Source organism: Homo sapiens, chromosome 12 (genome assembly GCF_000001405.40).
Source record: "Homo sapiens chromosome 12, GRCh38.p14 Primary Assembly".
NCBI lineage: Eukaryota > Metazoa > Chordata > Mammalia > Primates > Hominidae > Homo > Homo sapiens.
The window spans coordinates 27,723,896-27,736,745 of NC_000012.12; the positions used below are offsets into that span (position 1 = coordinate 27,723,896).

The window sequence follows — 12,850 nt, forward strand, 5'->3', positions numbered from 1 at the left end:
GGATGATGCTATATATGTAAAGTGCAGAAGAGAATCTGTTCTTTCATGTAACTTGGTGATGCTCTCAGTAATTTGGTATTGTCTAGTAGTATGCATTACAATGAGAATTTACTTGCAAAAGTGTAATTGAAATTATTTCTTTTATTCTCAGATTTTTGCACTGAGTGGCCAGCCGCACTGGACAGTGACGAGAAATGTGAGAAGCATTTTCCAATTGAAATTGACAGCACTGATTATGTTTCATCAGGACCATCTGTTCGGAACCCCAGAGCACGAGTAGTAGTCTTAAGAGTAAGAGTTTTTTTCATTTTTTTTTTTTAAATAAGAATCATTCTAATACATTATTTAAAGATGTCTTTGGTGGCTGGCACAGTGGCTCATGCCTGTAATCCCAGCACTTTGGGAGGCCAAGGTGGGAGAATTGCTTGAGCCCAGGAATTTGACGCCAGCCTGGGCAACATAGCAAGAACCTATCTCTAAAAATAAAGAAAGAAATTGATATGTGTGATTATAAAACTGTAATATTTTTCACAGAAATTTTGGAAAATACAAGTTTCAAATTATACACCAGGCATGGTGGCTCCTGCCTGTAATCCCAGCACTTTGGGAGGCCGAGTCAGGCGGATCACCTGAGGTCAGGAGTTCAAGACCAGCCTGGCCAACATGGTGAAACCCCGTCTCTACTAAAAATACAAAAATTAGCTGGGCGTGGTGGTGGGCACCTGTAATCCCATCTACTCCGGAGGCTGAGGCAGGAGAATTGCTTGAACCCGGGAGGCAGAGGTTGCAGTGAGCTGAGATCGCTCCACTGCACTCCAACCTGGGTGACAGAGCGAGATTCCATCTCGGAAAAAAAAAAAATTACAAAATTGCCCGTAAATCTACTATTTGTAACCACTGTTAACTATAGTAGCTCATTTTAGTATATAGTCACAGCCTGCCTTTGTGTATATTAATGGGATGATACTGTATGTGTTCAGCAGTCTCTTAACAAGAATTAAACATTTCCCAATAATATTAAACATTCTTTAATTTAATTTGAATTTTTTTGAGATGAGATCTGACAGGCAGAGAGTAGTGGCACTAACATAGCTCAATGTGGCCTCCAATTTCTGGGTTCAATTGATTGTCCTGCCTCAGCCTCCAAAGTGGCTGGGACTACAGGTGTGAGACACTGCCCAGCCCATTTTCTTAAATTTTTTGTAGATACAGGATCTCACTTTGTTGCCCAGCTTTTCTTGAACTCCTGGCTCAAGTGATCTTCCCACTTCCGCCTCCCAAAGCACTGGAATTACAGGTGTGAGCCACTGCACCCAATCTAATTTAATTTTAATGGCTGCATAGAATAACGTATAAATGAGAGATTGTTATGTACCAAGACAGTGTTTGAATCTGGGGGTGTAATGTTGATCACTTCAAACTTAGCCTTTTTTCTGAGACTGAAGTGTGATATATAAATAATTTCATAATACAGGGCTACCATAATTTATCTGTATTATGGAACCTTTAGGCTTTTTAATGGTTTTCTTTATTAGAAAAATATTTTAATGAATATTCTTAGGTATTAATATTTGTATGTATTTCTAATGATGTTCCTAAGATAACTTCCTGAAAGGAGAACTATGAGGTCAAAGGATATAGCTCTTGAAGTTTGTTGATATATATTATAAAATTCCTGCAGGAAATGTAAAAAAATATAATCCCAGCAGAATGTGAGAAGGCCTGCTTTCCTGTGCTCTCACCAACCTACATATTACCTGTCAACTTGATAGGTAAAAAATTTGTCTTATATTTAAAATTTGTATGTCTTTGAATACTAGTGAGGTTGAGGATTTATTCCTTTGCAAAACATGTATTTTTTGTCATTTGCTCATTTTGGTGGTGTATTGATTCCTTGTATACCTTTTTTTTTTTTTTTTTTTTTTTTTGAGACAGGGTCTTACCCTGTCACCCAGGCTGAAGTGCAGTGGCGCGATCTTGGCTCACTGCAGTCTCTTCCATCCGGGCTCAAGTGATTCTCCCATCTCAGCCTCCTGAGCAGTAGCTGGAACTGCAGGAGTGTGCCACCATGCCTGGCCAATTTTTTTGAATTTTTGTAGAGACAGGGTTTTGCCATGATGCCCAGGCTGGTCTCAAATTCCTGGACTCAGGCGATCTGCCTGCCTTGGGCTCCCAAAGTGCTGGGATTACAGATGTGAGCCACCACTACAGGGCCGTTGTTTCTTTTTAATAATGGCTTTATTGAGACATAGTTCACTTGCTATAGAATTCCCCCCTTAACCATCCTCAAGCCCCTTTTAGCCACTAATCTACTTTTTGTCTCTGGATTTACCTATTCTTGATGTGTTACAGAAATGGAACCATGCAATATGTTTTCTTTCACTTAGTGTAATGTTTTCAATAGGTTTCATCTGTTGTAGCATGTATTATTTTATCATTTCTTTTTATTGCCAAATATTTTATTTTATGAATATACCACATTTTATTTATCCATTCATTAATTGGTGGACATTTGGGTTGTGTCTACTTTTTGGATGAATAATGCTGTTGAACATTCACATACAGGTTTTTGTGTAGATATGTGTTTTCCATTCTCTTGGGTATATACCTAGCAGTGGAATGACTGAGTTGCATGGCACCTCCATATTTAACATTTTGAGGAACTGCCAAACTGTTTTTGAAAAACAATTTCAAAGTGGCTTCACTATTTTACAATTTCACCAGCAAGTTTGAGGCTTTCTATTTCTCCACATCCTCACTAATGGTTATTACCTGTCCTTTAGTTTTAGCCATTCTGATAGGTATGAAAGTATCATTGTAGTTTTGATTTGTGTCTCCCTAATAACCATCTTTTCATGTGCTTGTTGACTATTTGTATATGTTTGGAGAAATGTCTGTTCATATCCTTTGCCTGTTTTTTAATTGGGTTGTTTATCTTTCGATTGTTGAGTTATAAGTGTATTTTATATATTCTGGACACCAGTCCCAGTCCCTTCTCAGATATATGATTTGTAAACATTTTCTTCCATTCTTTGGGTTGTCCTCTTACTTTCTTGATGATGTCCTTTTTTTTTTTTTTTTTTGAGACGGAGTCTCACTCTGTCACCCAGGCTGGAGTGCAGTGGCTCGATCTCAGCTCACTGCAAGCTCCGCCTCCTGGGTTCACAGCATTCTCCTGCCTCAGCCTCCCGAGTAGCTAGAACTACAGGCACCCGCCACCACGCCTGGCTAATTTTTTGTATTTTTAGTAGAGATGGGGTTTTCACCGTGTTAGCCAGGATGGTCTCGATCTCCTGACCTTGTGATCTGCCTGCCTCAGCCTCCCAAAATGCTGGGATTAGAGGCGTGAGCCTTTTAAGCACAGAAGTTTTAATTTTGATGAAGTCCAATTTATGTAAGTCATGTGCTGCATAATGATGTTGTGGTCAGTGATAAACACATACACAACAGTGGTCCCAAGAGATTATAATACTGTATTTTCACTGCACTTTTTCTATGTTTAGATATGTTTAAATACACAAGTACAATTTTGTTACAGTTGTTACAGTATTTAACAGTAACATGCTACACAGGTTTGTAGCCAAGGAGCAATTGACTATACCATGTAGTCTAGGTGTGTAGTAGGCTGTACCACCTAGGATTGTGTAAATACATAATGATGTTTGTACATGACAAAATCACCTAGCCATGTCTTTGTCAAAAAATATTGTTAAGTGGCGTATGACAGTATTTTTCCTTTTGTTTCTTGTGCTTTTGGTGTCATATGTAAGAAATCATTGTCTTATTCAAGGTCATAAAAGATTCACTCTTGTGTTTCCTCCTAAAAGTTTTATAGTTTTAGCTCTTACATTTAGATCTATGACCTATTGTTTGTTAATTATCATACAGTTGTTCCTCAGTATCTGTTTGGGATTGGTTCCAGGAACGCTTGTAAATTCATAGATCTGTGGATGCCTAAGTCCCTGATATAAAATGGCATAGTATTTGAATATTGAATATAACCTAGTACATCCTCCTATATACTTTGTCATTTCTAGATTACTTATAATGCCTAATACAACGTAAATAGTTGTTATACTGTATTTTAAGAATATGCAGTTTAAAAATTGTTATATTGTTATTTTTTCTGAATATTTTCAATCCACGTTCCAATCCACGGTTAGTTGAATCCACAAATGTGGAGCCCGTGGAGACAAAGGGCTAACTGGATATGGTGTGAAGCTGGGGTCCAGCTTCATTCTTTTGCATTCCGTTTGCATGTTGATCCAATACCATTTTTGAAAAGACTATTCTTTCCCATTGAATGGTCTTGACATCCTTGTCAAAAGTCATATAGTTATCTTTTAACTTTTCATTTGGCTACTTTACCAAATTCTCTTTTTTAAATTTTTTATTATGAAAATTTTCAAATGTATGGACAAGTAGAAAGAGGCTAATATAATAAATACCCATACACATGGCATCTTGATTTAGTAATTAATATTTTGACAAATTTGCTTCATACACATACATACACATCTAAGTACCTTAACATTTCTGACACCTAATGTTTCACACTAAAATACTTCAGTGTGTTATCTCTAAGAATTAAGGAGATGTTTCCTATTTAATTCCAATACTATTACCACATGTAACAAAATTGTCAGTAATTCCCAAATATCATCTAAAATATCTACTCCACATTATATTTCCCCTATTGCCTTACAAAATGGTATTTTTTAAGCTCTGTTATTGAAACCAGAATCCCGCCAAAGACCATTGTATTTGGTAATGATGTATCTTATGTTATCTGGAATGGCAAACAACCCCACCTCCCTCCCTTCTTCCTGATGAATTTGACTTGTTAAAGAGACAGGGTATTTATCTTGTAACATTTCCTATCTTCTGAATTTGCCCCATTGCATCTGGATGTCATTTACCTTATTTCTTTATCTCCTGTATTTCACATAACCTGGAAGTTAGATTTAAAGGGCTGATAAGATTCCAGTTAAATATGTTTGGCAAGAATACTTTATAGATATTGCTATGTATTTTATATTGCATCAGGGGCACGTAAAGTCTGGTGGCCTCATTCTCAGTATGCTGAAATTGAGCACTTGGCTAAGAAGCTGACAACCTAATCATTCCTTTGTGAAGATTTTTGTTTTGCTTTTCCCTTGAACAAGTAATCTGTGGGTGGATATCAAGTAAAATCATTATTCTTTTTGGTCCTCGAAGTATATCTATCTTACCTTTGGCCAGTGGGAACTCTTTTAAGTTGGTTCCTGTGTCCTTTTGTTACAATCCTTTAGCATTTGAAAGTTTCCTTGTATTTTGACACAAGATGGTTCAGGCTCATTTTTATAAATTTCTTATCCCGGACCTGGAATCAGCCATTTTTCAAGGAGCCCTAATACCTGCCAGTGGACAGTGGTGTTTACAGACCATGATCTGGATGCTAGGACTTCTCAGCTGATTCTTTCGGAAATTTCTCAAGACATAATAGATAAATAATGGTAGTTTTAATTCCCCTTTTCAAGTAACCATAGCTTGTTTTTTCTTTTTGTCTTTTGCATTAGATAAAATTTCTGAAGTCATATTTCTGTAGTTCCTTATGCTGTTGCATACTTTAATTGTCTGTGCCTCTAGTGTTTAACCTCAAGTATGAGGTAGGATTTCAGTGAGATAATAGTGTTTATTATGTTAATGGTGTATCCTATTCTTAGATTACTAGCATTTATGAAATTACCTCCTTTGAATTATTGAAGTCATAAATTACATCAATAGGTTTTCAATATACTGATGCATTTCTGAACCCTGGTCAGTTCATAGTGTATCATTCTTTTATTCTACTGCTGATTTGCTGTGCTAGAATTTTACTTAGGGTCATTTGTCCGGATGCCATATTGCTTTGGAGAAACATGAGATCCCTACTGTTACTCACCTGGACCACGCCACGTGCCATTGCACTTCCAAGTGTCTGCCCTAGGAACTTCTAATTTAGTATTTGAAGTCACTGTTTGTTTCCTTTGTCAAAGAAATCTTGGTACACATGGCATATCTTTTTCACACAGCAGTCATGGAGCAGTTACCTGATATACTTTTTAAAATTAAACTTTTTATTTTAGAATAGTTTTTAGTTTACAGAAAGGTTCCAAGAATAGTAGAGAATTTCAGACCCAGGTTCCCCTGTTGTAAACATCTTAAAATATACTATGGTACGTTTGTCACAACTAGTGAATTAATATTGATACTGAATCAATATTGAATTTATTGTTATTAAAGTCCCTACTTTGTTCAGATTATCTTAGTTTTTTTCTAATACCCTTTTTCTGTTCCAGAATCCCATCCAGTTTACAAATCACATTTAGTCATCATAATTTCTTAGGTTTATCTTGGGTGTGATGTTTCTCAGACTTGACTTGTTTTTGATGACCTTAACAGTTTTGAGAAGTACTAGTTGTATATTTGGTAGAATGTCTTTCAACTTGTTGTGTGTTTGGGGAGAAAAACCCCAGAAATAAAGTGCCATTCTCATCACATCATATCGAGAGTATAGGCTATTAAGATGATTTGTTTTGTTTGTTTTTTTGAGATAGTGTCTCATTCTGTCACTTACGCTGGAGTGCAGTGGCACAAGCACGGCTCACTGCAGCCTCGACCTTCCCAGGCTCTGGTGATCCTCCCACCTTTGTTTCCCCAGTAGCTGGGACTACAAGCGCAAGCCACCACGGCTAGCTAGTTTTCGTATTTTTTGTAGAGATGAGGTTTTGCCATGTTGCCAGGGGGTTTTGCCATGTTGCCAGGGCTGGTCTGGAACTCCTGGGCTCAAGTGATACTCTCACCTCAGCCTCCTAAAGTGCTGGGATTACAGGCAGTGAGCCACTGTGCCGGCCATGATTTGTCAGTGATGATGCTAATCTTCATCACCTGGCTGAGGTAGTACTTGTCCATTTTCTTCACCATAAAATTATACTTCCTCCCCTCTTACCCATACTCTACTCTTTAGAAGAAAGTTACTATGCAGAGCCCACACTTAAGGATCAGGAGGTATGCTCCACTTCTTTGAGAAAGAAGTATCACATAAATTATGTACAGTCCTTTTATATGGCAAATTTGTTCATTCTCCCCTATTTATTAATCATTTATTTATATCAGTATGGACTCATGGATATTTATTTTACACTATGTGTCATAATCCAATAAAACATTATTTTTTTGCTCAAATTGTTCTGAGTTTAACCATTGGGAACTCTTTCCAGTGACTCTTCTGTTCCTTTGCCATGCCCCTGTCATTTGTTTTTAAGCAATTTCTTATTTTCTGGCACTACAAAATGCTCTGGGCTCTTTCCCTGTCCCATTCCTAGAATCAGCATTTCTCCAAGGAGCCCTTACTGATGTGCTTTTGATTTGTCTGGAGGGTGACTACTACCTCTTTGAGGTGCCTCCTGGGACCCTCAAAATATTAACTTTTATACTCTGTGTAGCCTGTACTTTAAGCCAGAACATTCAAAGTACACTGAAGAAATGTGTTGAAAATCTATGCAACCATTTTCGCATTATGTACTAGCAAATAAACAATCTTTAATTTCTGGAATTTTCCATTTTCCTCAGTGATATTGTTGATTGATTTGTAGTTTTCTTTCTTTGCTAGGTTTCAGTATCAGGGCTGTACCAATTTTTTTCTTAATTTAATATAACTTTATTTTTTTGAGACAGGGTCTCGCTCTGTTGCCCAGGCTGGAGTCCAGTGGCGCGATCTTGGCTTACTGCAACCTCTGCCTCCATGGTTCAAGCGATTCTCCTGCTTCAGCCTCCCAAGTAGTTGGAATTATAGGAATGCTCCACCACACCCAGCTAATTTTTGTATTTTTAGTAGAGATGGGGTTTCACCATGTTGGCCAGGCTGGTCTTGAACACCTGACCTCAAGCGTTCCTCCCTCCTTGGCCTCCCAAAGTGCTGGGATTACAGGTGTGAGCCACCGCACCTGGCCTGTGCCATCTTTATGAAGTGAATTATGAAGCTTTCCAATCTTTTTTATTTTGTAGAACAGTTTAAATACACAACAATATACTAAGTTCTTAGATTGAAGCTGTTTTTAAATCACAAAGACAGTATATGTTTACTGTATAAAATTTCAAAAATCCCAATAAAAGAAAAAAAAGAATTGAAAGTTCAGCCATGCTTGTACCATTCCACAGGTTCATATTTTTAAGAACATATTAAATGTTACCTATTTTTCATAATAATGGTAACAACTACAACCAACAGTTGTTGAGCTCTGTTGTGTGTTGAAAAATCTCTGAACTGAGAGTCAGAAAACCTAGATCTTAATTTACGTTATTCACCTCAAGTTTTGTGGGCCTCCGTCTTCAGTCCTAGAATTGACATCCAATGTCCCTACTGGTTCTAAGTTTGCTTATTTTATTTCACACAAAAATAATCTCATTGCTTTATTTGAAGGATGGCACCAGATTTCATTTCTTGTATCATGCTTTTCCTCTTGTCCTCTCTGTGCCTTGTGCTAGCCTGTGATGCCTTCATTGCTCCCTTGTACCCCTTCTGCTGACTTCATGTCTGCCCTGCTAGACTCTGCACCCCACCTGCTGGCTGTTGAGGCTCAGTGGTGGTGTCCTGGATGTGCCATGTAGTTCAAGGGTAAACGTAGGTCAAACAGGTGGACTAAAGCACATGCAGTCCAGCATGATTAAAGCAATATCGTGAAGGTAGTCAACTGTTAGAAACTACTATTGGACATACTCAAATGTTTTAATGCACAGAAAAAAAAATTTTGATAGTCATAAAAGTTTAGGATTAAAAACAACTTATATATAACTTTACTTCAAAAGTGCTTTATTCTATTAATCTCATTTATTTCTGACAAAAATTCTGGAATTAAGTGTTCTTGAGGAAACTGAGTCTCAGGGAGGTAACATGATTTAAGGTAACATTAAATGGCAAATCTACAAATCAAACCAATTCTTGTCTTTTATGTAATACCAGCATTCTTTAACTAACCACATCATACTTGCATATAGAGAAAATATTTCACAAGTTTAGACATTTCCGAATTTATGTAGCTCTTTTTGTGTTAAAATGTAGTCATTTGAAGATATATATATATATATATATATATATATATATATATATATATATATATATATATCCAGCACCTCCTGTGATTTGAAATATCAGTGTTATTTTGGGGATAATGTTAACAGTATTATATCGATTCTTTGAAATGTAGCAACTGAGGGCAAAATATCTAAGTACTTTGAATTTTGATAAAAGACAGTGAATGCCACTCAGCCCAGGTTAAAGTATTAGCCCAGATTAAAGACTACAATGTTGCAGTGCCTTTGAGTGCTACCAGGTGGCGTGAGTGCACCACACAACTGTTCCTGAAATATTTATGATTTTTGGCATAAACTCCATATAGTTATTGAACATTAAAATGTTAATGTTAATGTGAGTTTTAAATTAATGTGAATGTGATCTTACATTACACGTTGCAGTAATGATCAGCTTTGCTGCCTTTTTTTGGACCACTTCTTATATAAAAAGCTAGAATACTTTAAGCTTTTGAAACTTTTAAATTTATTGTTAGACATTATTATGATTTCATTGAAGGGAGGTTTAAAAAAGGCAAAATCACAACATTCTCACTATCCTAATGTAAAAACTATTTATTTTTCTCTCCCTGTTCCCTCTTATACATGCATATGTGCATATATTTGTGTATTCATAATCATAATAAAGGTATATTTTATTTTTTGTAAAAAATTCTTCATATTGGTTTTAATCAGAGTATAAAATGGCTTATTTTATCTGTCAAGTCAGTAACCTGGTAGTTGATACATTCTCTTTCCAGAAAACTGTGGTGATTCACATTGTCTAATTGAGAGTTAATAGTCAGTATTCATATTACTTGAGTTGTTTTTAAGAGTGCATTTATATTTATCTATTTTCTCTACTTCAAATACAAAATACAAAAATTCACAGTGCTTTAAAAAACAATATATCCTCCCTTTTAAAAATTTATGTATTCATTCAGCAAATATTTGTTGCATGCATTTTAAGTGTTAAGCCATTGCCAAGAACGAGATAGCATCATTCTTACCCTCAAGGGTTTCAAATCAGTGGGGAAAAAATGGGAAAATAAATAGGCTACTATACTGTGATGTCTTGAGGGAAGTGTACAGAGTTATTGAAGCTACAGAAAACCAAATAGATTTCAAAATCCTATTTAGCTTTTTTTCTTCTTGATATAGTTACAGCTCTTTTTTATTCTTAATGCTCTCCATAGAAGATTAACCTATACTTTACCTTATTTAACTGTATTCTGGTGTGTAACCTAACCTATCTTCTTTTTTTTTTTTTTTTTGAGGCAGAGTTTTGCTCTTGTTGCCCAGGCTGGAGTGCAATGGCGCGATTTCAGCTCACCAAAACCTCCGCCTCCTGGGTTCAAGTGATTCTCTTGCCTCAGCCTCCTGAGTAGCTGGGATTACAGGTATGCGCCACCACACCTGGCTAATTTTGTATTTTTAGTAGAGATGGGTATCTCCGTGTTGGTCAGGCTGGTCTTGAACTCCTGACCTCAGGTGATCCGCCCGCCTCGGCCTCCCAAAGTAATGGCATTACAGGCATGAGCCACCGTGCCTGGCCTATCTTCTTGTATCAAATGTATTCATCTCTAGATAATACCTTTAGCCCATGCCCTTATTCTCTGCAAATTAAAAATTGTGTTCATTTGTTCTAGCACTTCCCAAAATATGTCTAAGGAAGACTACTGTTGTGAACCGTTCCTTGAAAAGTGGAATCTGACGTCAAATAAATTTGAGAATCATTGCATATTAACCCTGCATTTTGAAATTTCAAGATGCTTATTAGCATATTATCTGTTCTAAAAAATGCTACCTTAAAAAACCCAATTTACCTCGGCATTTCCTAAACATTTTCAACAGAAAGAGCCTTTTAAAAAAATTCTTCTTAGCCTGTGGGAGTAGTGTTAACATTTTGAGAAACGTTGAGCTAAATGAATTTTTCAATTGTTTTGATCCTTCCCTGATGCTGTATTCCAGCTTCCATGAGATATCTGTAGCTTTTAAAAAAAGCTTGTTGCAGTGATACAAGTCTCATAATTGCATGGTAGAACTTGTAATGATGCAAGTCTCATAATTGCATGATAGAAATTTCTTAAAGCCCTTATGTTTTATCTATTTATTTCTATATTCCAACTTAACTAACGCTAATTGAGTTTAATTCTATTAGTGCTACTCGTAAGCACCATAATTTCATTTATTTAACAGATATGTCGTTAGTTCTTTCAGGGAAGGCATTAATGCCCAGAACTTTCAAAGAACTTCAAACAGTATGTTGCCTTCCCTTTTTCTGTTTCCATGAGTAAGATCAGGGTTTATAATATGTCCCAACTGCTTGCTCTGTATAGAAAGGAGTTTGGAAAGCTTTCTTTTTAGTGGATTTAATGTTAATAGGAATAACATTGCTACCTTTTTTTCACTAAACAATTATATGAAATTATTTTTTCAAATAACTTTTCTTATTTTTAAGGTAAAGCTTTCCAGTTTGAATTTAGATGATCACGCAAAGAAGAAATTAATTAAACTTGTAGGAGAGCGATACTGCAAGACCACAGATGTGCTTACCATCAAAACAGATAGGTAATGGAAAAAATGTTCAGCCGACTGGTCACGTGTGTTTCCTCATTGTCCTCCAATTCCTTGGCAGTCCTTTTTAAAGAAACTATATTGAAGATGGGGGAGGGCGTAGCCTTTTCTTATTAAGCAGAGTTCTCTAATTCATATTTTTAATATCCTCACACTGGCCTACTATTGCTGTGATCTTTATGCAGCGGCATGCTTAGCTAATTTAATGTTATTTTTAACCTTGATTTTAATATTTCCATGTATATAAAACTCAAGAGAGAGATTAGAAGAAAAAAGTGTGGTTTGCTAGTGATTAATGCTTAAGCAGGCTTTTACACATTCAAAGCATATAAAAATCTTGTAGTTCAAAAGTAAAATTATTAAATGATCTATGGATCTATTTGGAAATTGATGAAGGCACATTCGTAAATAATCAAAATCTCAGAGCCAGGACAGATGTTTATAAAGGCAATATTAAATTTATCATATATGAATTTATAAATTGCGTCATTTTTTATTTGAAGTAAAGAAAGGTTATTGGTATGTTTTCACTAAATGGCTATTTTATTTTTAGAATTATACTTTAGCTGTTTCCAAATTATGTCAAAATATAAAAAGACCCACTTTTAGAGATAAGTTAAGTGGGCCGATCTGCTGTCTTCCTGCTCATCCCTGTTTGAAAGCATTTGGAGGTGTCAGTATCGATTAGGTCTCATGATTTGCAGTGGTGGGAAGAAGGAGCCTGACACACATGCAGAGATTGCAACAGTGTGGAGGCAGAAAAAGCTCAGGACCATGGTTTGTGATTATTACCATATGGGAGAAAGTAGATTTGAAATATATTAGGAATAGTCTTTTTACTATCTTCAGATAATGTTGGCTTTTCTAGTTCATGCAACTTTAAAAAATGCCTTTAAAATGTTATTGTTTGAAATTCTGTGAGTATCCAATAATGTTGCTTTTTTTTTTTTTAGGTAGTTTTACAAGTGTTAGTGTATGGATATGTTTTATGGTAACTATTTAGAGTAGAGGACTTAAATAAATATAAGTACAGAATAAGCAGTATAGTTGAAGTTATTTGTCATATGATGGTTTTATTTGATATTTAAAGAAATTGGAAGTAATCGTATCTTTCTGTATATTATTTTATTATCCTTAAAGCTCAATGTGTCATCTCATGTATGTAGAAGTTTTACCTAATTTT

The 12,850-nt window shown here is 35.9% G+C and overlaps 1 protein-coding gene across 3 annotated transcripts in view; it reads left to right on the forward strand.

Moving 5' to 3' along the window:
- MRPS35 (mitochondrial ribosomal protein S35) overlaps positions 1–12,850 on the forward strand; it is a 45,464-nt gene that overhangs the window by 13,064 nt on the left and 19,550 nt on the right. Inside the window, exons 5-6 of one of the 3 annotated variants that reach the window (NM_021821.4) lie at positions 152–291; positions 11,552–11,661. In NM_021821.4, coding sequence (NP_068593.2) covers positions 152–291; positions 11,552–11,661 — 250 coding nt within the window. Of the gene's footprint in view, positions 1–151; positions 292–1,681; positions 8,956–11,551; positions 11,662–12,850 lie in introns of those variants that run through there. The other 2 variants (XM_017019780.2, NM_001190864.2) reach the window with 2 other exon arrangements.